A 24,425-nucleotide genomic window follows, 5' to 3' on the forward strand; every position below is an offset into this window, starting at 1 on the left:
ACTATGCCCTTGGCTGTGACAATTTTTTTTGTATTTTTTTCTACAAGTTTTGTAGTTTTATACTTAAGTCCAAGATCTGTTTAGAGTTTACCTTTATATGATGTGTGAGACTTAGGGCAAGGTTCAGTTTTTGTTTTTTTTTTTCTTTGAGACAGTCTCACTCTGTTCCCCAGGTTGGAGTGGGGTCTCACTTTCTTGTCCAGGCTGGTCTCGAACTCCTGAGCTCAAGTGACCCTCCTGCCTCAATCTCCCAAAGTGCTGAGATTACAAGCGTGAGCTGCCACACCCAGCCAAGTTCAGATTTTTGCACATGTATGTCGAAGTGTTCCAGCAGTATTTGTTGAAATGACGGTCTCTTCATTGATTTAGTTTTTCACTTTTTTCAAAAATCCTTTTGGCAGATTTGTGTGGATTTCTAAGTCCTTTATTGAGTTCCATTGATTTATGTATCTCTCTCTCTGCCAATACAACAGAGTCTTAATCAAAGTAGCTATATGTTAAATCTTGAAATCAGGTAAAATGAGTCCTCCCACTTTATTGTTCTTTTTCAAAATCATTTTAGCTACTGTAGTCCTTTGCCTTTCCATATAAATTGTAGAATAATTGGTCCTATATCTAAGATAATTTTGCTAGGATTTTGATAAAAATTACATTAGACTTGCAAATCAATTTGAGGATAATTAACATCCTTCCTCTGTTGAATATTCCAATATGTGAACACGATATGTTTCACCATTTATTGAGATCTTTTGATGACTTTCATCAGCATTGTATAGCTTATAGTATATTACCCTATACATGTTTTGTTACATTTTTCACCTGTTTCATTTTTCTTTTTGGGGTGATTATAAATAGTACTGTGTTTTTAATTTTGATGTCCACATATTTATTGCTAGTGTACAAAATTACAATTGATTTTTAAATTTTCAATTTATATCCTTTTCAGCCTTGTCTTACTACTAGTTCTAGGACTTTTTAATAGATTTCTTGGAATTTTCTATATAAACCATCATATCACCTGAAAATGATTTATTTCATTTGCAATCTATATGCCTTTAATCCTTAAGTTTGAATTACAAAATTATTTTTACAGGACATGTGTAGTCTTCCAGATTATGTGACATTTAAGAGTTTCCCTGGAATACCTTTGCATCACATCTTCAGTGCAGCAGGAGACGACTTACTAGATCTCATACAAGGCTTATTCTTATTTAATCCATGTGCTCGAATTACGGCCACACAGGTATTTTGGTGTATCTTTTTTATACTAGGAAATATAAAAATAATCTTAACTGTAGCATTGATAAAAATAGAATTTCATAAAATTAACATTTTTTAAATACTGGAAAGATGTGTTTTTGTTTTAAGAAATAACAAACTTTGTATCTTTTCCCCAAACTACAAACACTATTAAGACTGAGATTAAATTATATGCACACAGAGATACAGGAGAGTTTACACTTATTACACTTGCTTAGGGACATTTAAATACATGTCTATTTCACATAATTGGCTTGTAAATACTTTACTTAGAAAAAGAAAACCAAGGCTTTTTATTTGTTAAGAAACTGGTATATTTCAGTTGAGCTCTTACAAATTCATTTAAATCTTGTAGCAATGCTGAAAGTAGTTTGTTCGGCTTATTTTTTCTTTCCTATATAATGCAATCCAGGTATGCATGCTGATCATTCTCACATTGAGAACATGGTAATGGGGAGGAAATGGTATAGTCAGATATAATTGTATGCTTACAAAAGCTTGAAAAATATTTGAAATAAAACAAAAACTGAAACTAACTGCTGTTTAAAGGAAATAACAAACTCATGAAAAATTTGGAAGACCTAGAATAACTTAGGGCAGAGCACTGTACAACACAGTGCAGTGATTTTACCTCATGAAGGGAGAGACTAATGAAAGTGAGATCACAGGTCTTTATGGAAACATATTAATGTACAGTAATATTAAGCATACAAAATAGATTTTTTTCTCTTTAGGTTTGTTCCAGGCTACAAAATCATTGTTTAATGCACTTGCTTGTATAAGCCTTCTCTTTTTAGCAATGTGTGCTATGTGAATATATATGGAGATGGATGGATGGATGGAAGGATAGATAGATATAGATGGATAGGTAGGTAGGTATATGCTGGGTATTTACCATTAGAATTATTCTCCTAATTTCTTTTTTAAAAAATTTTTCTTTATTATTTTTATGTCCATGTGTACACATACTCTTTTAATTTCAAACAAGTAATTTGTTGCCTTTTCACTCATACTTCTATGTATATTATTTCCATCATAATAAACTTGAGACCACATTTAATTATCTAGAAAGTTGTTTTCATTGGTAGTATAGTTTGAAACTTAACAGAAAAATACTAGTTGTTGTATTTGGGTTGTATTTTAATAGAATGAAGTTTTTAAAGTGAGTTTTGTTTCATGGATGTCTTTATTAAAGTTGGAATGAGGTATTTTCTTAGATCTTTAGCCCAGAATTAGCCTAATTTGCATATAGAACTGCTGTGATTTAGAAGTAATGCTTTAAAAATGCAGCTGTAGGCCGGTGCATCGGCTCACACCTGTAATCCCAGCACTTTGGGAGGTGAAGGAGCAAGGATAGCTTGAGCCCAGGAGTTGGAGCCCAGCCTGGGCAACATGACAAAACATCATCTCTACAAAAAGTAAATAAATAAAAAATGAAAATGCAACTGTTGAAGTAAGGAATCTCTAAATTACTGCAAATAATATTGGGAGTGGTGAGGAATGCTTGCAAAGTTTATATGGGCTTCATCTTTCTTAAAGGATTATCCTAAAGGAAGTATTTATTTATTTATTTTTGAGACGAAGTCTTGCTCTGTCACCCAGGCTGGAGTGCAGTGGCACGATCTTGACTCACTGCAACCTCTACCTCCCAGGTACAAGCGATTCTCCTGTCTCAGCCTCCCTAGTAGCTGGGATTACAGGTGCACACCACCATGCCTGGCTAATTTTTGGATTTTTAGTAGAGACAGGGTTTCACCATGTTATCGAGGCTGATCTCGAACTCCTGACCTCAGGTGATCCATCTGCCTCGGCCTCCCAAAGTGCTGGGATTACAGGCATGAGCCACCCCGCCCTGCCAGAAGTATTTTAAATCATTGTAGCCACTGGACAGCACTATGCTGCTGATGTAAATAGACAAGCATGTGAACCCGGGAGGTGGAGGTTGCAGTGAGCCAAGATTGTGCCACTGCACTCCAGCCTGGGCAACAGGGTGAGACTCTGTATCCAAAAAAAAAAAAAAAGACAAGCATGACCTGACAAACTTGTCATTTAGGATATAATTATTTTTATCAGAATTGTGGACCCAAGTCAAGAAAATGTATTGTATCTACAGCACTATAGTAGGGGGAAAAAAAGAGAAAATGTATTATAGAACATTGGCCTGGTAATTAATAGAAATAATCTTGGAGAAGCCCTTCCAAGTAAAATTTCTGTCCATTTGCAATGGATTGTTGAATTAGAATCCATTGGTTCCAACCTACTGTATTTTTTAAAAAGCCTTATTTTTTAAGAATTTATATTTTACATGACTTGGAATTTGAATATATATGGATAGTGTGGCCAACTTGTAAGTTCTTTTTAAGTTTCTCTCTTTGCATTTTGAACTGTAGAGTTCAATATGTAGAGAATGGAAATGTACAATATTTCACTAAGGATAGCTCATAATTAGTATAGGTTGAGCATCCTTAATCCAAATATCCGAAATCTGAAATGCTCCAAAATCCAAAGCTTTTTGAATGATGACGTGATGCCACAAGTGGAAAATTCTACACATAAGGACATTAACAAAACTTTGTTTTATGTACAAAATTAAAAATTTTGTCAAATTAAAAATATTTTATAAAATTACCTTCAGCCAGGCGCGGTGGCTCACGCCTGTAATCCTAGCTCTTAGGGAGGCGGAGGCGGGAGGATAGCTTGAGCCCAGGAGTTCAAGACAAGCCTGGCCAATATAGCAAGACCCCATTCTCCACAAAAAATAAGTGTAAAATTACCTTCAGTTTATATGTATAAGCTGTATATGAAACATAAGTTTCATTTTTAATCTTGGCTTCCATCCCCAAGGTACGTCATGTATATGCAAATATTCCACAGTCCAAAATCTGAAGCACTTCTGGTCCCAAGCATTTTAGATAAGATATATTCAGCCTGTATAGGCTATTTAATTATGGAAAAATTAGAAGGGAGTCTTTTTTTCTTTTCTTTTTTTGATACGGAGCCTTGCTCTGTCGCCCAGGCTGGAGTGCAGTGGTGCGATCTCGGCTCACTGCAACCTCTGCCTCTGGGTTCAAGCGATTCTCCTACCTCAGCCTCCCGAGTAGTGGGGACTACAGACATGCACCACCACGCCCAGCTTATTTTTGTATTTTTAGTAGAGATGGAGTTTCGCCACGTTGGCCAAGCTGATCTCGAACTTCTGACCTCATGTGATCCACCCGCCTCAGCCTCCCAAGGTGCTGGGATTACAGGCATGAGCTACTGTGCCCGGCCAGTCTTTTAATGGAATTATCAGCCAATCTTAGGATCCTAGGTATTTATTTGTAGTAATTTCCATTTGCAAATACTTGACATTAATTTTGTTTTGTTGGGAATGAGGGCATTCACATAGTATTTTTAATGCTCCCTATAATCTTGAAGGTAAGATTTTCCTTAACACATTTCAGATACTCACCTACCTTACTTTTGGTATCTTTTCTTTTAAAAGGCACTGAAAATGAAGTATTTCAGTAATCGGCCAGGGCCAACACCTGGATGTCAGCTGCCAAGACCAAACTGTCCAGTGGAAACCTTAAAGGAGCAATCAAATCCAGCTTTGGCAATAAAAAGGAAAAGAACAGAGGCCTTAGAACAAGGTAAGATTCCCACTTTTAAAAGAAATTAAATGAATTTAGAAAACTCCAAATAGCTCGTGTATGGCTAGCGACTGAACAACAGCAAAGAAATGTAGCTTGCTAGCTATTTAATTTTTATAAATTTAATTGTATAAAGTAGAGAGACTGTGCCGTTTTAGGTATGTTTACTTTCATTGTGAATACTTCGGCAGCTTTTGTGTATACCTCAGAATTATGGGAACTATGTATGTGTACCTTGTTCCCTTCATAAATTCCTTCTGTAAACTACATGCTAAATGTTTAACAAGTGCTACTGGAAAAAATGTGTCAGTGAAATAATGTAGTTGGAATGCAGTGACTGGTTAAAATTGCTATGAGAATGTGAACTTTGTTAAATGTGAACAACTTTTTTTTTTCTTGTTCTTTTTGCTTCCTAGGAGGATTGCCCAAGAAACTAATTTTTTAAAGAGAACACTGGACAACATTTTACTACTGAGGGAAATAGCCAAAAAGGCAAATAATGGAAAAATAGTAAACATTAAGTAAATGCTGTAGAAGTGAGTTTGTAAATATTCTACACATGTAAAATATGTAAAACTATGGGTTATTTTTATTAAATGTATTTTAAAATAAAAATTTAATTCTGGTTTTTCTGATTAGAGTGCAAAAGTGAGAAAAGTTCAATACTCTTGAAATGTAGAATTGAAAATGCATTAGGGAAAACTTAATAAAAATTATTACCAGTTATTTGGAAGATCTGACCCATATAGTATCACAAATCTGTAGTAGCATGGGTAGTGTTTAAAAATAAAAATGTTGGCCGGGCGCGGTGGCTCACGCCTGTATTCCCAGCACTTTGGGAGGCCGAGGCGGGCGGATCACAGGTCAGGAGATCGAGACCATCCTGGCTAACACGGTGAAACCCCGTCTCTACTAAAAATACAAAAAAAATTAGCTGGGCGTGGTGGTGGGCGCCTGTAGTCCCAGCTACTCAGGAGGCTGAGGCAGGAGAATGGCGAGAACCCGGGAGGCAGAGCTTGCAGTGAGCCAAGATGGCGCCACTGTACTCCAGCCTGGGTGACAGGGCAAGACACAGTCTCAAAAAAAAAAAAAATGTAGTAGTGGTGTAGTAAATACTACCCAAACTTAACAAATATTAATATACGGAATGTACTAAAAAAAGAAAACATTACAGATAAAATTGAGATTCCCCCCAACCTTTTTTCTGAGGCGGGGGACAAAGTCTCACTCTGTCACTCAGGTTGGAGTGCAGGGGCACAATCCCAGCTCACTGCAAACTCTGCCTTCAAGTGATTCACTTGCTTCAGCCTCCTGAGCAGCTGGGATTATGGGCACGCACCACTACACCTGCCTAATTTTTTTTATATTTTTAGTAGAGACAGGATTTCACCATGTTGGCCAGGCTGGCCTCTAATTCCTGACCTGAAGTGATCTGCCCACCTCGGCTTCCCAAAGTGCTGGGATTACAGGCATGAGCCACTACACCTGGCCAGAGGTTCCCTCTTAAAAATTCACTTTATTTTATTTTTTTTTGAGATGGAGTCTCGCTCTGTCACCCAGGCTGGAGTGCAGTGGTGCGATCTTGGCTCACTGCAACCTCCACCTCCTGGATTCAAGCAGTTCTCCTGCCTCAGCCTCCCAAGTAGCTGGGGTTACAGGTATGTGCCACCACGCCTGGCTAATTTTTTTTTTTTTTGTATTTTTAGTAGAGATGGGGTTTCACCATATTGGCCAGGCTGGTCTCGAACTCCTGACCTTTTCATCCACCTGCCTTGACCTCCCAAAGTGCTGGGATTACAGGTGTGAGCCACCGCGCCCAGCCAATACTTCACTTTATTTCTATTTTTTCCTTTTCACTTTCCCCAGAGGGAAATGACTCTATGAAATTGGTGTGTATCTTTCCATGATTTTATGCTAGTATTCTGTAAGAGTGCATGTAGTGAGATGCATAACAATGTACAGCATTGTTTTGGGTCTCAAAATTGTATATAAATTGATAGAATCTCTCTCTCCTTTTTTTTTTTTTTTTTTTGTGAGATAGTCTCTGTTGCCCAGGTTGGAGTGTAGTAGTGCAATCATGGCTCACTGCAGCTTCGAACTCCTGGGCTCAAGCCATCCTTCCACCTCTGTCCCCAGTAGCTGGGACTACAGGTGCATACCACCATGCCTGGTTAATTTTTTTTTTTTTTTTAATGAGACAGAGTCTTGCTCTGTTGCCCAGGCTGGAGTGCAGTGGTGCAATCTCAGCTCACTGTAACCTCTGCATCCTGGGGTTCAGGTGATCCTCCTACCTTAGCCTCCCAAGTAGCTGGGATTACAAATGTGTACCACCATGCCCAGCTAATTAAAGTAACACAAATGTATTAGCTCACAGTTCTGTAGGCCATATATCTGGCTCAGCTGTGTTTTCTGCTTAGGGTCTCACAAGGCCAAAATCAAGGTGTTAGTCAAACTAGTTTTATTTGGAGGCCCCTGGAAAGAATCTGCTACCAAGCTCATGCAGGTTTGTTTTTTTTTTTTTTTTGGAGATGGAGTCTTGCTCTGTCGCCCAGGCTGGAGTGCAGTGGCACGATCTCGGCTCACTGCAACCTCCGCCCACTGGGTTCACCCATTCTCCTGCCTCAGCCTCCCGAGTAGCTGGGACTACAGGTGCCCGCCACCACGCCCAGCTAATATTTTGTATTTTTAGTAGAGACGGGGTTTCACTGTGTTAGCCAGGATGGTCTCTATCTCCTGACCTCGTGATCCGCCCACCTTGGCCTCCCAAAGTGCTGGGATTACAGGCGTGAGCCACCGTGCCCGGCCGCTCATGCAGTTCTTATAGTTGCAATTCTTGTGCTCCATTGCCCCCATTTCCCTTTTGACTGTTAGCCCAGGGCCTCTCTCAGCTTCTTAAGGAAACTTCCATGCCTTTGTCCTGTGGCACTCACCACAGGACAGCAGCAGTGCATCAAACCCACTCGTGCTTCAAATCTGTCTGACTTCCTCGTGTGTGTGTGTAGACAGGGAGCTGCCAAGGGAGAAGCAGCCAAGCAGCTAAGAGTCCAGGAGATAATAGCGCCAAAGGGATCTGAGGACACTCAAAATGTGTCTAACACGTGAGGCAGGATAGGAGTGTATTATTCCGTTCTCAAACTGCTATAAAGAATACTACCCAAGACTCAGTAATTTATAAAGGAAAGAGGTTTAATTGACTCATAGCTCCACATGGCTGGGCAGGCCTCAGGAAACTTACAATCCTGGCAGAAGGGGAAGCAGGCATGTTTTACATGGCAGCAGGAGAGACTACCATGTATAAAACCATTGGATCTCGTGAGAACTCACAATCATGAGAACAGCATGGGGGATACCACCCCCATGATCCAGTCACCTACCACCAAGTCCCTCCTTCAACATGTGGGAATTATGGGGATTACAATTCAAAATAAGACTTGGGTGGGGACACAGCCAAACCGTATCAGGTAGTCAAGGAAATGACCATTTTCTCATGACCATACAGCCAACACAATAAACCTCAGCATTCACATTGTAATTGAGCTCATTTAAGCAAAGCTATCTTCAGTAGGGACTTTCCCTTCTAGAGAGCATACACATTTTGATTTTACCTGTCCTCAAACTGATCCTTTGCACATGATAATAATAAAAAACACACCTCTAGGTGGAAATTTAAGATGCTACTGAGACATGTGGTGTATGAACAAGCATTAACAGCTACTGCACCTGTGCAGAGGACCACCCAGGACATGATTACTGCAACACCTCACCTCCTTATGAATAATAATGCAAAACTCCCATAAAGGGAGTTTCTCCAGCAATAATCAATGCTGTCTCACCCTTACGAGCAGCCGGCCCTGAATTCTCTCTCTCAGGTGTACTGTCTGTTCTGCACCTAACTTTCAAAATACTCCTTTTCTTTTGCAATAAATTATGCTGCATCTCCTTTGCTGTCTCATTTAAATTCTTTTAAACCAAGAAGACAAGAACTGAGGTATCACAACAGCTGTCAACACATGCATTTTGCTTTATTCATTTGCTTTATCTTATGGATCTCTCCATTTTGTAGAGTATTCCATTGTATAGCTGTACAGTAATTTAGATAAACTTTTGTATTGATAGCCTTTTCTTTTGGAGATGGGGGTCTCACTCTGTCACTCAGGCTGGAGTGCAGTGGCACAATCACAGCTCACTGCAGCCTCAAGCTCCTGGGCTCATGCCATCCTCCTGCCTCAGCCCCTGAGTAGCTGGGACAACAGGTGCATGCCACCATGCCTTGCCGAGTTTTTGTATAGATGGGGTTTCACCATGTTGCCCAGGCTGGTCTTGAACTCTGGACTGGTCTGGACTTGAGATTCAGACCAGATCTGTAAGCCACTGCACCCGGCCTTGATAGCCATTTGTTTTCATACACAGCAGCAATTAGTAGCCATTTAAGATATCTGTGCGCCAGCCTACAAGAAATACAAATGTACAGGGTAAAATCCTAGCTGGATCAAATATGAGCTTTGTAAATTTTTAAAAACTTTTTTATTGAGTTGTGGTTTATGCCTGTAATCCCAGCACTTTGAGAGGCTGAGGCAGGAGGATCCCTTGAGGCCAGGAGTTTGGCACCAGCCTGAGCAACACAGTGGGACCCTGTCTACACACACACCCCACCCCCACACACCCCAATTCACATACCACAAACAAAAAAACTCCTAGAAATCACCTTGGCTCAGGCAGCTTCTTCAGATTCCTGAGACCCCATTTCCTGGATCATCACAACCATCTCACAGGATGCAATGAAAAGAGCTGTTAAGCACTTTGTAGACTTGGCTACAAATCTGTGCAGATTTGGTTGCAAAATGTTACTACCCTGACAAGAAGCCATGAACGCAGCCGGCACTGACTCAATATACTTCTGCCAAGGTCCCACCATCAAAACTGTCTTATTGAAGTTAACTTAAGGAAATTGTTATTTCTAAACTTCATATGGTAAATGAAAAATACTGAACAAGGCAAATAAAACAAGATAAATGAATTCCAGAAATTAACATTCAGTCAGTCCTAGGTATTGTTACTTTTTAGAGCATTAAGATACATTGCTATATTGTTGATTTAGCCAAGCTAAGATCCCTATAGTCAATCAAAATAGTTAAATAATTTTTTGTTTTTCCCAAAAATCATTATTTTTTGTTTTAGGATGTTGGCAAACACTGTAATGTGTTTTTTTTTTTTTTTGAGACAGAGTTTCGCTCTTGTCGCCCAGGCTGGAGTGCAATGACACAGTCTCGGCTTACCACAACCCCCGCCTCCCAGGTTCAAGCGATTCTCCTACCTCAGCCTCCCAAGTAGCTGGGATTACAGGCATGCGCCACTAGGCCTAGCTAATTTTTTGTATTTTTAGTAGAGATGGGGTTTCTCCATGTTGGTCAGACTGGTCTTGAACTCCAGCCTCAGGTGACCCACCCACCTTGGCCTCCCAAAGTGCTGGGATTTATAAGCATGAGCCACCATGCCCAGCCTGTAATGTAATTTATAAATACAGTAATGTAATTTATAAATAAAATGTCAACACAGAATACTAATTTCTTGTAGAAAATGTAGAAAATAGGCTGGGTGTGGTGGCTCACGCCTGTAATCCCAGCACTTTCGGAGGCCAAGGCAGGCGGATCACTTGAGGTCAGGAGTTCAAGATCAGCCTGGCTAACATGGTAAAACCCCGTCTCTACTAAAAATACAAAAATTAGCTGGGCGTGGTGGCACATGCCTGTAATCCGAGTTACTCGGGAGGCTGAGGCAGGAGAATTGCTTGAACCGGGAGGCGGAGGTTGCAGTGAACCGAGATCACACCACTGCACTCCAACCTGGGTGACAGAGCAAGACTCCATCTCAAAAGAAGAAAAAGAAAATGTAGAAAATATTTGATTTAAGTGACCTCCTAAAATTTAGAAATACCTAGGAAACATACAACTTCTCAAGATGCAGCAAAATTTACAAAATCATTTTTCAAAGTATCTCGATATAAACAACTCTCAGTTCCAATTTCAACTGGCTTGTCTTTAAAATATGATACTTGATGGCAAAGAATGGGATCTTTTAAGAGTTCTATAGTTTGGATCTATTTGAGAGTGCTGGATTGAACAAATGCAGCCCACAGAATTTAAAATGCAGACACTTGAATGTATAGGATCACCCAAAACAGAGAATTCTGAAGTCTTACGCCAGGGGTTGTTGAAAGGGAAATTCTCTTTTATAGGATTTTTTTCTTTATTCTCGTTTGAAGCAGTGTCTTTGTCTTCCAATGCCCGAGCAAGCATGTAGCTAACTTTTCTTTGATGAGCCAAAGCTTCTTCTTTATCATTAAGCTGCATGCACAGAAATTAAACATGTACAAGTTAGTCAATAAATCACAGAATATATTCAGAGAAAGGAGTATTGTACTATTTTATCAAGTTATTCAACCCTAATATTCATACTGATCTGTCCATCAGTATGAATAAATTAGGTATCACCTGATCCCCAAACATTATACTACATGTTATTCATGAATCTTTTTTTTTTTTTTTTTGAGACGGAGTCTGGCTCTGTCACCCAGGCTGGAGTGCAGTGGCACTATCTCCACTCACTGCAAGCTCTGCCTCCCAGGTTCACACTATTCTCCTGCCTCAGCCTCCCAAGTAGCTGGGACCACAGGTGCCCGCCACCACACCCAGCTAATTTTTTGCATTTTTTAGTAGAGACGGGGTTTCACTGTGTTTGCCAGGATGGTCTGAATCTCCTGACCTTGTGATCAGCCCACCTTGGCCTCCCAAAGTGCTGGGATTACAGGCGTGAGCCACCGTGCCCGGCCAATTCTTTTTTTTTTTAAGACAGGGTCTGGCTCTGTTGCCCAGGCTGGAATGCAGTGATGCCATCTTGGCTCACTGCAGCCTCTGCCTCCCAGGCTCAAGTGATTCTTGGGCCTCACCCTCCCGAGTAGAGTAGCTGGGACTATAGGCGTGCACCACCACACCTTGCTAATTTTTGTAGGCTGGTCTCGAACTCCTGGCCTCAAGTGATCCACTCGCCTCGGCCTCCCAAAGTGCTGGAATTACAGATGTGTGCCACCATGCCAGGCTGACAATTTTTTTTTTTTTTTGAGACAGAGTCTCGCTCTGTCACCCAGGTTGGAGTGCAGTTGCATGATCTTGGCTCACTGCAAGCTCCGCTCTCCTGGGTTCACACCATTCTCCTGTCTCAGCCTCCCATGTAGCTAGGGACTACAGGTGCCAGCCACCACACCTGGCTAATTTTTTGTATTTTTAGTAGAGACAGTTTCACCGTGTTAGTCAGGATGGTCTCGATCTCCTGACCTCATGATCCACCCGCCTCGGCTTCCCAAAGTGCTGGGATTACAGGCATGAGCCACTGTGCCCAGCCCCGACGATTATTTTTTAAAAATAATTTTTTAAAAAAAAAAACAGAAGACAGCATTGAAAATTTTGCAAGTCATCTGGAAATGAAGGGAAAATATAGATCTATATGAAGTGTGTATATATAGGTATATAATATCAACATATAAAAAATATATCAACGTGCATATTTATAAAATAATGTTGAAGTTATTTGTATATAAAATTGCTTTCATATATTTGTATGCAAATATATAACAGTCTAGAGATAAGTATGTTCATATAACCTGAGTCTCAGTGTCTTAGTTTAGTCATTCCATGTGGAATGTGGGTAGCAGGACTGTAAAGGATATAATGTGTGAGGAAATGCCTTGAACACTTTAAAAATGCCTCAATAAACAGGCAGACTTGTCACAAACTGTATATATATAAATGTAGATGGCAAAGCTGGCTGGAGTTAACTACAGGAGCCCCCTGTTTTCCAAGATGGAGCCTTTAAACCTGCACAGAAAGAATATGAATGACGAGAAAAGATGAGCTGAGGGAGATAAAGATCATGAAGGTAGAGTCTGGTACTCCAACTGGGAAAAGGACATAGAAGGCAAGTGCAAGTCTAGAGAGATAAAGAGTTGAATTAACAGGAAGCAAATAGATTAGCTTAACCTAGGGGTGTCCAATCTTTTGGCTTCCCTGGGCCACACTGGAAGAAGAAGAATTGTCTTGGGCCACACATAAAATACACTAACACTGGCTGGGCATGGTGGGTCACGCCTGTAATCCCAGCACTTTGGGATGCCGAGGTGGGCAGATCACTTGAGGTCAGGAGTTTGAGACCAGCCTGGCCAACATGGTGAAATCCTGTCTCTACTAAAAACGCACACACAAAATTAGCCAGGCGTGGTGGTGGGCGCCTGCAGTCCCAGCTACTCTAGAGGCTGAGGCAGGAGAATTGCTTGAACCCGGGAGGTGGAGGTTGCAGTGAGCCGAGATCGCGCCGCTGCACTCCAGCCTGGGTGACAGAGACTCTGTCTCAAAAACCAAACAAACAAAAAAACCAAAAAACAAACAAAACAAAAAAATACACTAACACTAATGATAGCTGATGAACTAAAAAAATATATATATATATCAAAAAGATCTCATAATGTTTTAAGAAAGTTTACGAATTTGTGTTGGGCCACATTCAAAGCTGTTCTGGGCTGCATGCTCCCCACGGACCGTGGGTTGGACAAGCTTGGCTTAACCATAACCTGCAAAAAAAAGCAAAGACACTAACCAAATCTATGAGCATCTTAAGGACCTCTTGAGGACTGTCCTGGTCTTCCATCCTCTTAGAACTGTTTTCTGAAGGGAGCATACCCAACAGTCTCTGCCCGAAGGTCTTCTTACTCCTTGGTGATGGAAATCCTAAAATTGAACATGAGAATCCAGCTGAGACATTAAAATATCCTCACTGATATACTTCCAGCAAAAGAGGTAACTTGATCTCTAGGACAAGTGAGTCCAGGAGCACACAGTGGAATGTAGTGAGCAGAGCACAGCCTTCAGAGCCAGGAGCAATGCAGGTGAGAGGCAGCAAGAGTGCCGCCCTGCCATGCGGCACAGCCACCCCTCTGTGCCAGCTGACACACAGGCCACACAAGAACACAGTCCATGTCACTGGATCATCACAGTCTTCAAGAGCAGCCAGAAATGCAGATCTGTCATGACATCTTCCAATTCTAAATGTCAGCCACTAGTCTTATTGTTTGACTACACTAAGCCAACCTAACAAAACATGTCTGCAGGCCACAGGGGGCCTCTGAGCCATGCAAACTCTGCTTCCGAACAGCAAAGACCTGGACTTGAATCCTCATTCAGCCACTTACTAACTGTATGACCTCGGGTGACTTTTCTCAGCTTGATTTCCTCATCTCTAAAATGAGAATAGCATTACCTTCTTCTCAGGGAACTGTGCCATTAAATAATAAATCACACGGGCTGGAGAAGGGGAAGTGAGGAGTTACTGTTTCATGGGACAGGGTCTCTGTAAAGAAAGATGAAAATGTTCTGGAGCTGGATGGTGATGAAGGTTACATTACAATGTGAATATACTTAATACCACTTAAAAACAGTTCAAATGGTAAACTATATATATATATATATATATATATATATATATATATATATATATAATTTTTTTTTTTTTTTAGATGGAGTCTTGTTCTGTCACCCAGGCTGGAGTGCAGTGGCGCAATCTCGGCTCACTGCAAGCTCCGCCTCCCGGGTTCGCGCCATTCTCCTGCCTCAGCCTCCCGAGTAGCTGGGACTACAGGCGCCCGCCACCACGTCCGGCTAATTTTTTTGTATTTTTAGTAGAGATGGGGTTTCACTGTGTTAGCCAGGATGGTCTCGATCTCCTGACCTCATGATTCGCCCCCTCTTGGCCTCCCAAAATGCTGGGATTACAGGCGTGAGCCACCGCGCCCGGCCAACTTTAGATATATTTTACCACCATCACGACAACAACAAAAAATACCACAATTGTCAAAGGCCCTGCTCAGGTATTAGCATAATATTTAATATTTCACGTGCTGACATCATTGATGTCCTTCTTCATCCATTGAAGGAAAGTAATTTGCAGAAGTTATAAAATCTCAGATTGTACAAGGAAAATTTCAAGAATGTTTTTGGAATATTCTCCAAAAGTGGTTTAGTGGGAAACTGAGAGCAGATGAGGGGAGATCCCCTTCCCACCAATCCTGACAGACCACAGTGACGAGGGCGGCCCTGACCCCTTCCACGAGGAGCTGTGGCAAACAGAAGTCAGAGAAACTGACACTTTGATGAGTAGATGAATCTGTGTCCCTATTTTCAGTCTAAAAAAAGAAATAGCTTGGTGTGATGGCTCAAGCTGGTAGTCTGGAGGATTGCTTAAGCCCAGGAGTTTAAGATAAAAAAAAAAAAAAAAAAACCCAAAAGCAAAAATACAAAGAAAGAAAGAAGTATGCCTATAAACTACTTCCGGAAACTTGTCTAAACTGCCATATCAAAAAGAAAGTTGATATTAAGTGTTACTAAACATAAAATAATCTGTATCACCCTGTACCTCTTAAGATTACTGAAATATACTAATAAAATGAATTAAAGTCTTGTCACTGAGAAACTGAGAAAGAACTACTCAAACTTGTATAGATTTATAAAAGCTGTGCGAGATTAATCAATTTTTTTTTTTTTTTTTGAGATGGAGTCTCGCTTTTGTCGCCCAGGCTGGAGTGCAACAGCGCAATCTTGGCTCACCACAACCTCTGCCTCCCGGGTTCAAACATTTCTCCTGCCTCAGCCTCCCGAGTAGCTGGGATTACAGGCTTGTGCCACCACACCCAGCCAATTTTGTATTTTTAGTAGAGACAGGGTTTCTCCATGTTGGTCAGGCTGGTCTCAAATTCCCGACCTCAAGTGATCCACCCACCTCAGCCTCCCAAAGTCCTGAGATTACAGGCGTGCCACTGCACCCGGCCATCAGTTTTTGGTGGTTTTTTTTTTTTGAGACAGGGTCTTGCTCCATCACCCAGGCTGGACTGCAGTGGTGGGATCATGACTCACTGCAGCCTCAGCCTCCCAGGCTCAAGCGATCCTCCCACTTCAGCCTCCCTAGTAGCTGAGACCACAGGTATCTACCACCACACTTGGCTATTTTTTTTTTTTTAATAGAGACAGGGTCTCCCTATGTTGCCCAGCCTGGTCTCAAACTCCTGAGCTCAAGCAATCCTCCTGCCTCAGCCTCCCAAAGCGCTGGGATTACAGGCATGAGCCACTGTGCCCTGCCTATATCAATTATTTAAAATTCTGCCTTCAGTCTCTCTCAGTGCCTTACTGGAACTCAGAGATTGGGAGCTATACCCCTCTGAATTGCATTTTTTGTGGGAATCTTCCTTAGATTTGTCAATAGCTGAATGTGATATTGTAATATAAGAAATATATATTTGGTCTTTGCCCTCAGTTCCTGACATAGAGCTCCTAAAATCCTAGTAGATAGGGGTGTTAGGTGAATCTTTTCTCATAGTTGGTCTTTGACCCCAGTTCCTAACACACAATTCTTAAGACTGTAATTTCCTCAGTGCTAGGAGCATCTGACACAGAGCCCCTAAATCCCTTGGAATTTCCTGGGTAATAGAAGCATCTTTTGTTCTAATGAGGCTCTTGATGGGCTCCTGGATAGCCTCAGGATGGGGGCTGGTTGCCAGGGGAACCAATCTTGTGATTAGAAAGCTGGAACTTTCAGCCCTAGCCCCCAAACTCCAGGGAAGCGAGAGGGGCTGAAGGTTGAGTTGATTACCAATGGCCAATGATGTAATCACCAATGGCCAGTGATGTACCGTGTCCATGTAATGAAGCCTCCATAAAAACCCAAAAGGGTCTGGGGAGCTTCCAGATAGCTGAGCATGTGAGGTTCCTGAGGGGTGGTACGCCAAAGAGAGCATCCCTTCCCACGTGCCTTGCCCTGTCCATCTCTTTATCTGGCTGTTCATCTGCATCCTTTGTAAGATCCTTTATAATAAACTGGTAAACGGAAGTGTTTCCCGGAGTTCTGTGAGGCATCCTAGCAAATCAATGGAGCCTGAGGAGGGCGTCATGGGAGTCCCAATGTACATACAGCCAGTCAGTCAGGAGCAGCAGAGACAACTCTGTGCTTTTGACTGGCATTTGGAGTGCAGGCCATCTTGTGGGACTGAGCCTTTAACTTATGGGATCTGACTCTAACTCCAGGTAGACAGTGTGAGAATTGAGGGAAATGATAGGATACCCAGCTGGTGTGTGGGGAATCCCCCACCCCTAGCATCTGGTGTCAGAAGCGCTGAGCTGAGTGGTAAGTGCTGTGTGAATAGGAAAACACTTTGGTTTCCCCTGTCTCTTACACTGTGGAAGGTAGGAATTATGGAACATCAAATGCACATATTCTCAAGTGCTGAAATGAGTATGAATCTAGCTCTTGAGAAAAATGCAGCTTTGTCTACACTGCACTATCCTAATGGCCAAGCTCCACACAGGGTTGCAGGCCTTGCAGGCAGGTGACAGGGTCTGACAGGCATTCGTAAGATTAAGATTACTTTAACCCTGACTTTCCCCTTCGTCTCTTCTTTTTCCCATCACTTTTCTTTCCACCTCTATCAAAACAAACAAATATTTACAATCTGACTTTCTAAGAAGATCTGCCTTCAATTAGCACAAAACACCAGGGCTGTCCTCAAAGAGGATTTTACAATCCAACTGCTATTAAGGGCTTAGCTGAGAGAGGAGGTGTCTGAGGAAGATTATCTACACATAGCTGTGGTCCGTGGTAGAACCAGGTATTCTTAGTGTTTTCCACTGGTTCCTAAAAGGCTAAATACATGGACCATGTTAGCTTTTTCCCTGGCAAAATCACCTAACCTGGATTGAACATTAAAGTTGTACCTTCAGCTTTTATGAAGAGTTTATTATAGAAAATGACCATATTATCTAAATACATTATTTTGTATTTATTATAAGACATTGTTGGCCAGGTGCAGTGGATCACATCTGTAACCACAGCATTTTGGGAGGCCGAGGAGGGAGGACCGCTTGAGCCCAGGAGTTTGAGACCAGCCTGGGTAACACAGTGAGACCTCATCTCTATAAACAAATACAAAATTTAGCCTGGCATGGTGGCACATGCCTGAAGTCCCAGCTGCTAGGGAGGCTGAGGTGGGAGGATTGCTTGAGCCCATGAGGTAGAGGCTGCAGTGAGTCATGATCACACCACTGCACTCCAGCCTGGGCAACAGGATAAGATGCTGCCTCAAAAAAAAAAAAAAAAAAGCTACTAAAACACTGTCGGGAATTTAGCCATTATATTTTCTCAAAAGTTTCGTGTCAGAAAACATTTTTAGAAATTAATTTCAAGAAAATATGAATGACTTTCTCAGAATAAGTGTTACAAAACATTATATTTTCCTGTTTTGTCCTGGCTTCCATCTAATGAACACTCCAAACATGTAGCTTCTATGATCTGCATTTCCCTACTCTGTAGTTCTGATTTACTGCTTCTATTTCTATCATCCCTCTGCATCACTTCTTACCCTTTTCAGCAAAGAAAAGGGGGAAAGCTTAGTTAATGAAACTAAAATTCACGACAGCTGACTCCTATACTATTAGTAATATATACTGTTTGAAAATAAATATTTCAAACAAAATGGCTATCTACTATAAAGCTTTCATTTTATTATTATTATTATTATTACTATTATTATTATTATTTTGAGACAGAGTCTTGCTCTGTCACCCAGGCTAGAGTACAGTGGCGCAATCTTGGCTCACTGCAACCTCTGCCTTCCAGGTTCAAGCGATTCTCCTGCCTCAGCTTCCCGAGTAGCTGGGATTACAGGTGAGTGCCATCACACCCAGCTAATTTTTGTATTTTTAGTAGAGATGGGGTTTCTCAATGTTGGCCAGGCTGGTCTTGAACTCCTGACCTCAGGTGATCTGCCTGCCTCAGCCTGCCAAAGTGCTGGGATTACAGGCCTGAGCCACCGCACATGGCCAGGTTTCTTTTTTTTTTCTTTTTTTTCTTTTTTTTTTTTTTTTGTTTGAGACAGTCTTGCTCTTTCCCCCAGGCTGGAGTGCAGTAGTGCAATCTTGGCTCACTGCAACCTCCACTTCCCAGGTTCAAGCAATTCTCCTGCCTCAGCCTCCCAAGTAGCTGGGACTACAGGCGCCTGCGACCAAGCCCGGCTAATTTTTGTATTTTTAGTAGAGGCAGGGTTTCACCATGTTGGCCAGGCTGGTCTCAAACTCCTGACCTCAAATGATCCACCCACCTCGGCCTCCCAAAGTGCTGGGATTACAGGCATGAGCCACGACGCCCAGCCAACAGGTTCCATTTTAAATATTTTCTATGATGGTGTTCCCCTAAGATCATTTTAAATATTACAAGATGTGTATTAGTCTTTCTAAATTCACCTGAATATAAGAGATGTTAGAATTATAGATCTGACAGATAAGAAAATATTTAGAAATACAGTCATCCTAGAATTTTTCTACAAAACATTTAAAATTCTTATAAACTTCACTTGATTCTTTCTCAACTGATAAATGGTTTCAAATTATAATTTGACATTTTAAACTGAAGCAATATGAATTCTACAGAATAATACTGATGAATAAAAATTGGTATGAACTACTTAGAGAAACAGATTTCTAAAAAATAACAGCTACTTTGTTCATACTGGAAGATCTACTTCAATTCTCTCATGCTATTTTAATATATTTTTTAATACACAGATATAATAATACTCAATACTGATCATTTTTTTTTTTTTGAGATGGAGTCTCATTCCGTCGCCCAGTGCAGTGGCGCGATCTCAGCTCACTGCAACCTCTGCCTCCTGGGTTCAAGCGATTCTTCTGCCTCAGCCTCCTGAGCAGGTGGTATTACAGGCATGTGCTACCACGCCCGGCTAATTTTTGTGTTTTTAGTAGAGATGGGGTTTTGCCATGTTGGCCAGGCTGTTCTCGAACTCCTGACCTCAGGTGATCCACCCTCCTTGGCCTCTCAAAGTGCTAGGATTACAGGCGTGAGCCACCACACCCAGCCTGGCCATAAATTTTTGATGGGTTCGTGAACCAAAACCTAAACCTAAACTTCTGCTTCATTTTTTCTAAGAATATTTTATTAATTTGTCCAACTTAAGGTTTTTCCTCTATTCCTCAATTTCCTTCTCAAAAGCATACATTTCAATAAAGTTTAATTAGATAGATACATTTAATGTCATGTTTAAGTGACATTTTTCACATTACTTCCTTCTTGGCAGTTTCCTTTTAATCACCTAGCACTTTTATTGTAAAGTTTTTTCACTAAACATGGTCTTATTTAAATGAAACAGAAGAGTACTAGAAAATAAATATTCCTGTTATGTTATGGTTTATGGATTCCAGTAGTTCACCTGCACATGTAATATCCAATGACTCCTTTTTTTCCATAGTTGCTAAGTTTTTAAGTAAACCACAACCATATGTGAAGTTTCAATTATTTTTGCCCACATTGGATTAAGTGTGCTTCATCAACTTGGATTATAAACAAAACAACTAAAATTACACCCACTTATTGCCATTATAATTCATAGTTACCATCCTCTTTAAGGTGCTTCCAATTCATCCATTTTGTTGCTTTTTTATGCATTTTATCCATTTGTGTCAATTGTAGTGCCTGGTCATTTTTTCTCATTAATTGTTGCTCAAATGCAATTCTGAAAGCATCTGCCATCACGTAAGCTTCTTCTTTACTCTTCTGCAAAATTTCCAACTGATTTTGAAAGACAGTTTGGGAGGTGTCAGAGGCAAAACCAGAACAATTCTTGCTGAATGGGGAATCAAATTAACATATGCAATCTCACTGCCTAGCACTGGTTTATTGCCTGTGGTCTGATCTAGTTTATCTGATTACGCTAATTAATGCTTGCTATTTCTGCAGTAGCAACTTACTCTGATCCAGATTATCAGTTTCCCTTGTGGTGCCTGTCAACTGCCTGCTAACCTAACCCCTGGACCTCACTACCCCATGCAGGCCCTGTGTGTGTGTCCTGCTCAAGTCCTGGGACAAAGGGCCCAGCATGAAAGATAAGAGGATACCAAAGGCTGCATTTCAACTCAGCTTTGGGCCATTCCAGACCACACCACTGAAAATAATGATGAATACGACCTTTCAAATACGTCTTATAGATGACCTTGACTTTGATCAATGTAATCTCATGTTTTTCTTTTCTTCTATTTTTTTCTTCTTCTTCTTTTTTTTTTTTCTTTTGATGGAGTCTCGCTCTGTCGCCCAGGCTGGAGTGCAGTGTCGTGATCTCGGCTCACTGCAAGCTCCGCCTCCTGGGTTCAAGCAATTCTCCTGCCTCTGCCTCTCGAGTAGCTGGGACTATAGGCGCATGTTGCCACGCCTGGCTAATTTTTTGTATTTTAGTAGAGATGGGGTTTCACTGTGTTGCCCAGGCTGGTCTCGAACTCCTGAGCTCAGGTAATCCACCCGCCTCGGCCTCCCAAAGTGCTGGTTTACAGGCATGAGCCACTGCGCCCGGTCTTTCTTTTTGTTTTGGAGACAGGGTCTCTCACTCTGTCACCCAGGCTAGAGTGCAGTGATGTGAACACGGCTCACTGTAACTGTGACGTCTTAGGCTCAAGTGATTCTCCCACCTCAGCCTCCCAAAGTGCTGAGATTACAGGTGTAACCCATTGCCCCCTCATGCTTTTCTTAATGAATGGCTACTGTCCAAATGTTGGCTTTCCTATATACTTTAAAGATTTTATTTTGGCTGGGCTCAGTGGCTCACGCCTGTAATCCCAGCACTTTGGGGGGCCAAGGCGGGTGGATCACGAGGTCAGGAGTTCAAGACCAGCCTGGCCAACATAGTGAAACCCCGTCTCTACTAAAAATACAAAAATTAACTGGGAGTGGTGGCAGGCGCCTGTAATCCCAGCTACTCAGGAGCCTGAGGCAGAGAATCACTTGAACCAGGAGGTGGAGGTTGCAGTGAGCCGAGATTGCACCACTACATTCCAGCCTGGGCGACAGAGCAAGAATCCGTCTCAAAAAAAAAAAAAAACCCAAACACTTTAATTTTTTTAAATTTAATTTTGTCCTATTTTATTCTATTTTAAGTTCTAGGATACAGGTGCAGGATGCAGGTTTGTTACCTAGGTAAATGTGTGCCATGGTGGTTTGCCACACCTAAGGACTTTAAATTCCATACCTTCAATAAAGGTAAAACATTTTAGAATTATGGTCCATGTACTACTGTATTTGTAAGTAAAGACCAAATATAATGGCAGCTATCATTTGAATTAATGTCTGGCATGTTCATGGTGCTGTGCTAAACATTTTATGTCTATTTCCTCACAACAATCATCCAAGGTAGTTATTACCCTCCACTTAATATAGTAGGAAAACTAAGACCTACCCCGTCCAAAGCCACACAGCTAGTAAATGGTGGAGCAAAGATGCAAACCTAGGTCTGGCTGGGACAAAGGTTCCTTTCACTGTGCCTTGCTGCTGTTCAAATACATTCCATGCTTATCTCTCCATTAATCAGTGTTGCTGATCCTAGTGATTTTAAGCATAAATGTACATTTTCCTTCTATTATATAGTAATTTTAGGGACATGTATAGATGAGAACATATAAATTTTAGGAATATTAATTATGAACTTAGGCAAATGACTTTAGGTAGCTTCAAATATCATGCCAAGTACTTTTTTTTTTTTTCTTGGAGATGGAGTTTCACTCTTGTTGCCTAGGCTGGAGTGCAGTGGTGTAATCTCGGCTCACTGCAACCTCCGCCTCCCGGATTCAAGCGATTCTCCTGCCTCAGCCTCCCAAGTAGCTAAGATTACAGGTGACCGCCACCATGCCTGGCTAGTAGAGACGTGGTTTTACCATGTTGGCCAGGCTGGTCTTAAACTCCTGACCTCAGGTGATCTGCCTGCCTTAGCCTCCCAAAGTGCTGGGATTACAGGCGTGAGCCACCGCACCCTGCCCCAAGTACTATTAATATTTGTATTTTGGAACCAGGTAAACAAAATCCAGTTGATAAGTTGATGCTATCACATAAAAACTAAGCATAAGTTCCATAGGCAATAACTACTAAAATGAAGTTAATTATTGCAAACATTTCCATTTATTCTACTATTAACAGAGAAACAAAACTAAAGCTTTTGCTGTTGTGATAACGCAATACCTCTTGTTTGAGCTGAAGAAGCAGTTTCCGAGTGGATGCTGCCATTCTGGCACAAGAACAGGGGTTCCCTCCGGGCCCATGACAAAGGCAGGCTCCGAGGACCGCAAGCTTTAAATTGAAAAGCATTGCTCCTGTTATTAAGTGTCACACTGTTTTAGCTGCACACAAACACAGGGGCATTTACACACATACCCATGCACACTACTACTCAGGCATCTGATCCAAAAAAACTGGAAAGGAAAAACAAAATAGAAGAAAGCTGAGACTGGGATCTCAGAATACAAATAGAAATTAACTACAAACGACAAAAAGAATGTCATGACTTGGAACACAAACAAAAGGGAATTTTACCTTCCTTCATCTCACTCTTAAAACCTTTAATCCTGGCGCCACTCTCCTATAGGTCTGAGTCCTTGGCAGGAGTTTAGCCTAACAATATGGTTAACGCTAACATCCACAGCATACCTTTCCTGTAACAGTGTGGCCCTGATGCCCGGCATTCACTACTGCCAGTTTCCTCTAAGCTGAGTCATCTACTCAGAAATGACGAGGGAATTGTAATATATAATGAGAAAAACAGTCATCCCTCCACTCCTAAAAAAAATAAAAAAATACGATTGATTCCTGTGTAAAAGAATAAAACTTCAGCACCATCCAAACTTATGCCAAGGGTGAAGTTAAGCCCTGGAGACTCAGTCAGGTAGCATGTTTGAAATGCTGCTTCTAGATTAGAGAGTAACCCTCTTCCTCGTTGCTCTTGTTCTGTAAATGAGGAGGAGAGACCAGAGACCAGACCTTTCTGCTTCCATCACTGACCTCCGTTACAGATTAGCTGTCTTATCTTCTTATACCTAACTCAGAGCAGATGACTTCGAAAAGAACCCCATGGCTGTTACATCTTCAGTGTGGAATGTTAAATATACCTTCCCCAAAAGAAAACGATCACCTCAACTAATATCTCTGTAACTATGCACTAAACCATACCATCAAAAGATGTTGAAATTCTGTTAAACTTCCCTAAACATTGTCCATACTTCCCTAAACATTGTCCATATAAGCCAGCACAAACTTCTACACTTTAGAACACTGACTTCTTTTTTTTTTTTTTTGAGATGGAGTCTCGCTCTGTCACCCAGGCTGGAGTGCAGTGGCGCGATCTCGGCTCACTGCAAGCTCTGCCTCCTGGGTTCACGCCATTGTCCTGCCTCAGCCTCCCGAGTAGCTGGGACTACAGGCGCCACCACGCCCGGCTAATTTTTTTGTATTTTTAAAGTAGAGACAGAGTTTCACCGTGCTAGCCAGGATGGTCTCGATCTCCTGACCTCGTGATCTGCCCGCCTCAGCCTCCCAAAGTGCTGGGATTACAGGCATGAGCCATCGCACCCGGCCTAAAACACTGACTTCTTTGGAATCTGTGGCTCCTTGGGTGAT

At 41.5% G+C, this 24,425-nt stretch overlaps 2 protein-coding genes across 45 annotated transcripts in view; one reads left to right on the forward strand and one right to left on the reverse strand.

The window, feature by feature from the left end:
- Window positions 1-5,632, forward strand: part of CDK7 (cyclin dependent kinase 7) — a 42,636-nt gene extending 37,004 nt beyond the window's left edge. For all 12 annotated transcript variants that reach the window (NR_136690.2, NM_001324077.1, NM_001324072.1 and 9 more), the window contains 3 exons: window positions 1,094-1,243; window positions 4,745-4,892; window positions 5,309-5,632. Coding sequence is in view for 11 of the 12 variants with exons in the window: in NM_001324077.1 (NP_001311006.1) it covers window positions 1,094-1,243; window positions 4,745-4,892; window positions 5,309-5,337 (327 nt within the window). In the remaining variant the exon portion in view is untranslated. The remainder of the gene's footprint in view (window positions 1-1,093; window positions 1,244-4,744; window positions 4,893-5,308) is intronic.
- CCDC125 (coiled-coil domain containing 125) overlaps window positions 1,241-24,425 on the reverse strand; it is a 59,763-nt gene continuing 36,578 nt past the window's right edge. For 15 of the 33 annotated variants that reach the window (XM_047416904.1, NM_001297697.2, XM_047416902.1 and 12 more), the window contains 4 exons: window positions 22,995-23,102; window positions 20,390-20,564; window positions 13,539-13,669; window positions 8,377-11,236 (listed from right to left, as the gene is read on the reverse strand). In XM_047416904.1, coding sequence (XP_047272860.1) covers window positions 10,931-11,236; window positions 13,539-13,669; window positions 20,390-20,564; window positions 22,995-23,102 — 720 coding nt within the window. In that variant the 3' untranslated portion in view covers window positions 8,377-10,930. Of the gene's footprint in view, window positions 1,682-8,060; window positions 11,237-13,538; window positions 13,670-20,389; window positions 20,565-21,925; window positions 22,362-22,994; window positions 23,103-24,425 lie in introns of those variants that run through there. The other 18 variants (XM_047416907.1, XM_047416906.1, XM_047416895.1 and 15 more) reach the window with 7 other exon arrangements.

Source organism: Homo sapiens, chromosome 5, assembly GCF_000001405.40.
Source record: "Homo sapiens chromosome 5, GRCh38.p14 Primary Assembly".
In the NCBI taxonomy this organism is placed as follows: domain Eukaryota; kingdom Metazoa; phylum Chordata; class Mammalia; order Primates; family Hominidae; genus Homo; species Homo sapiens.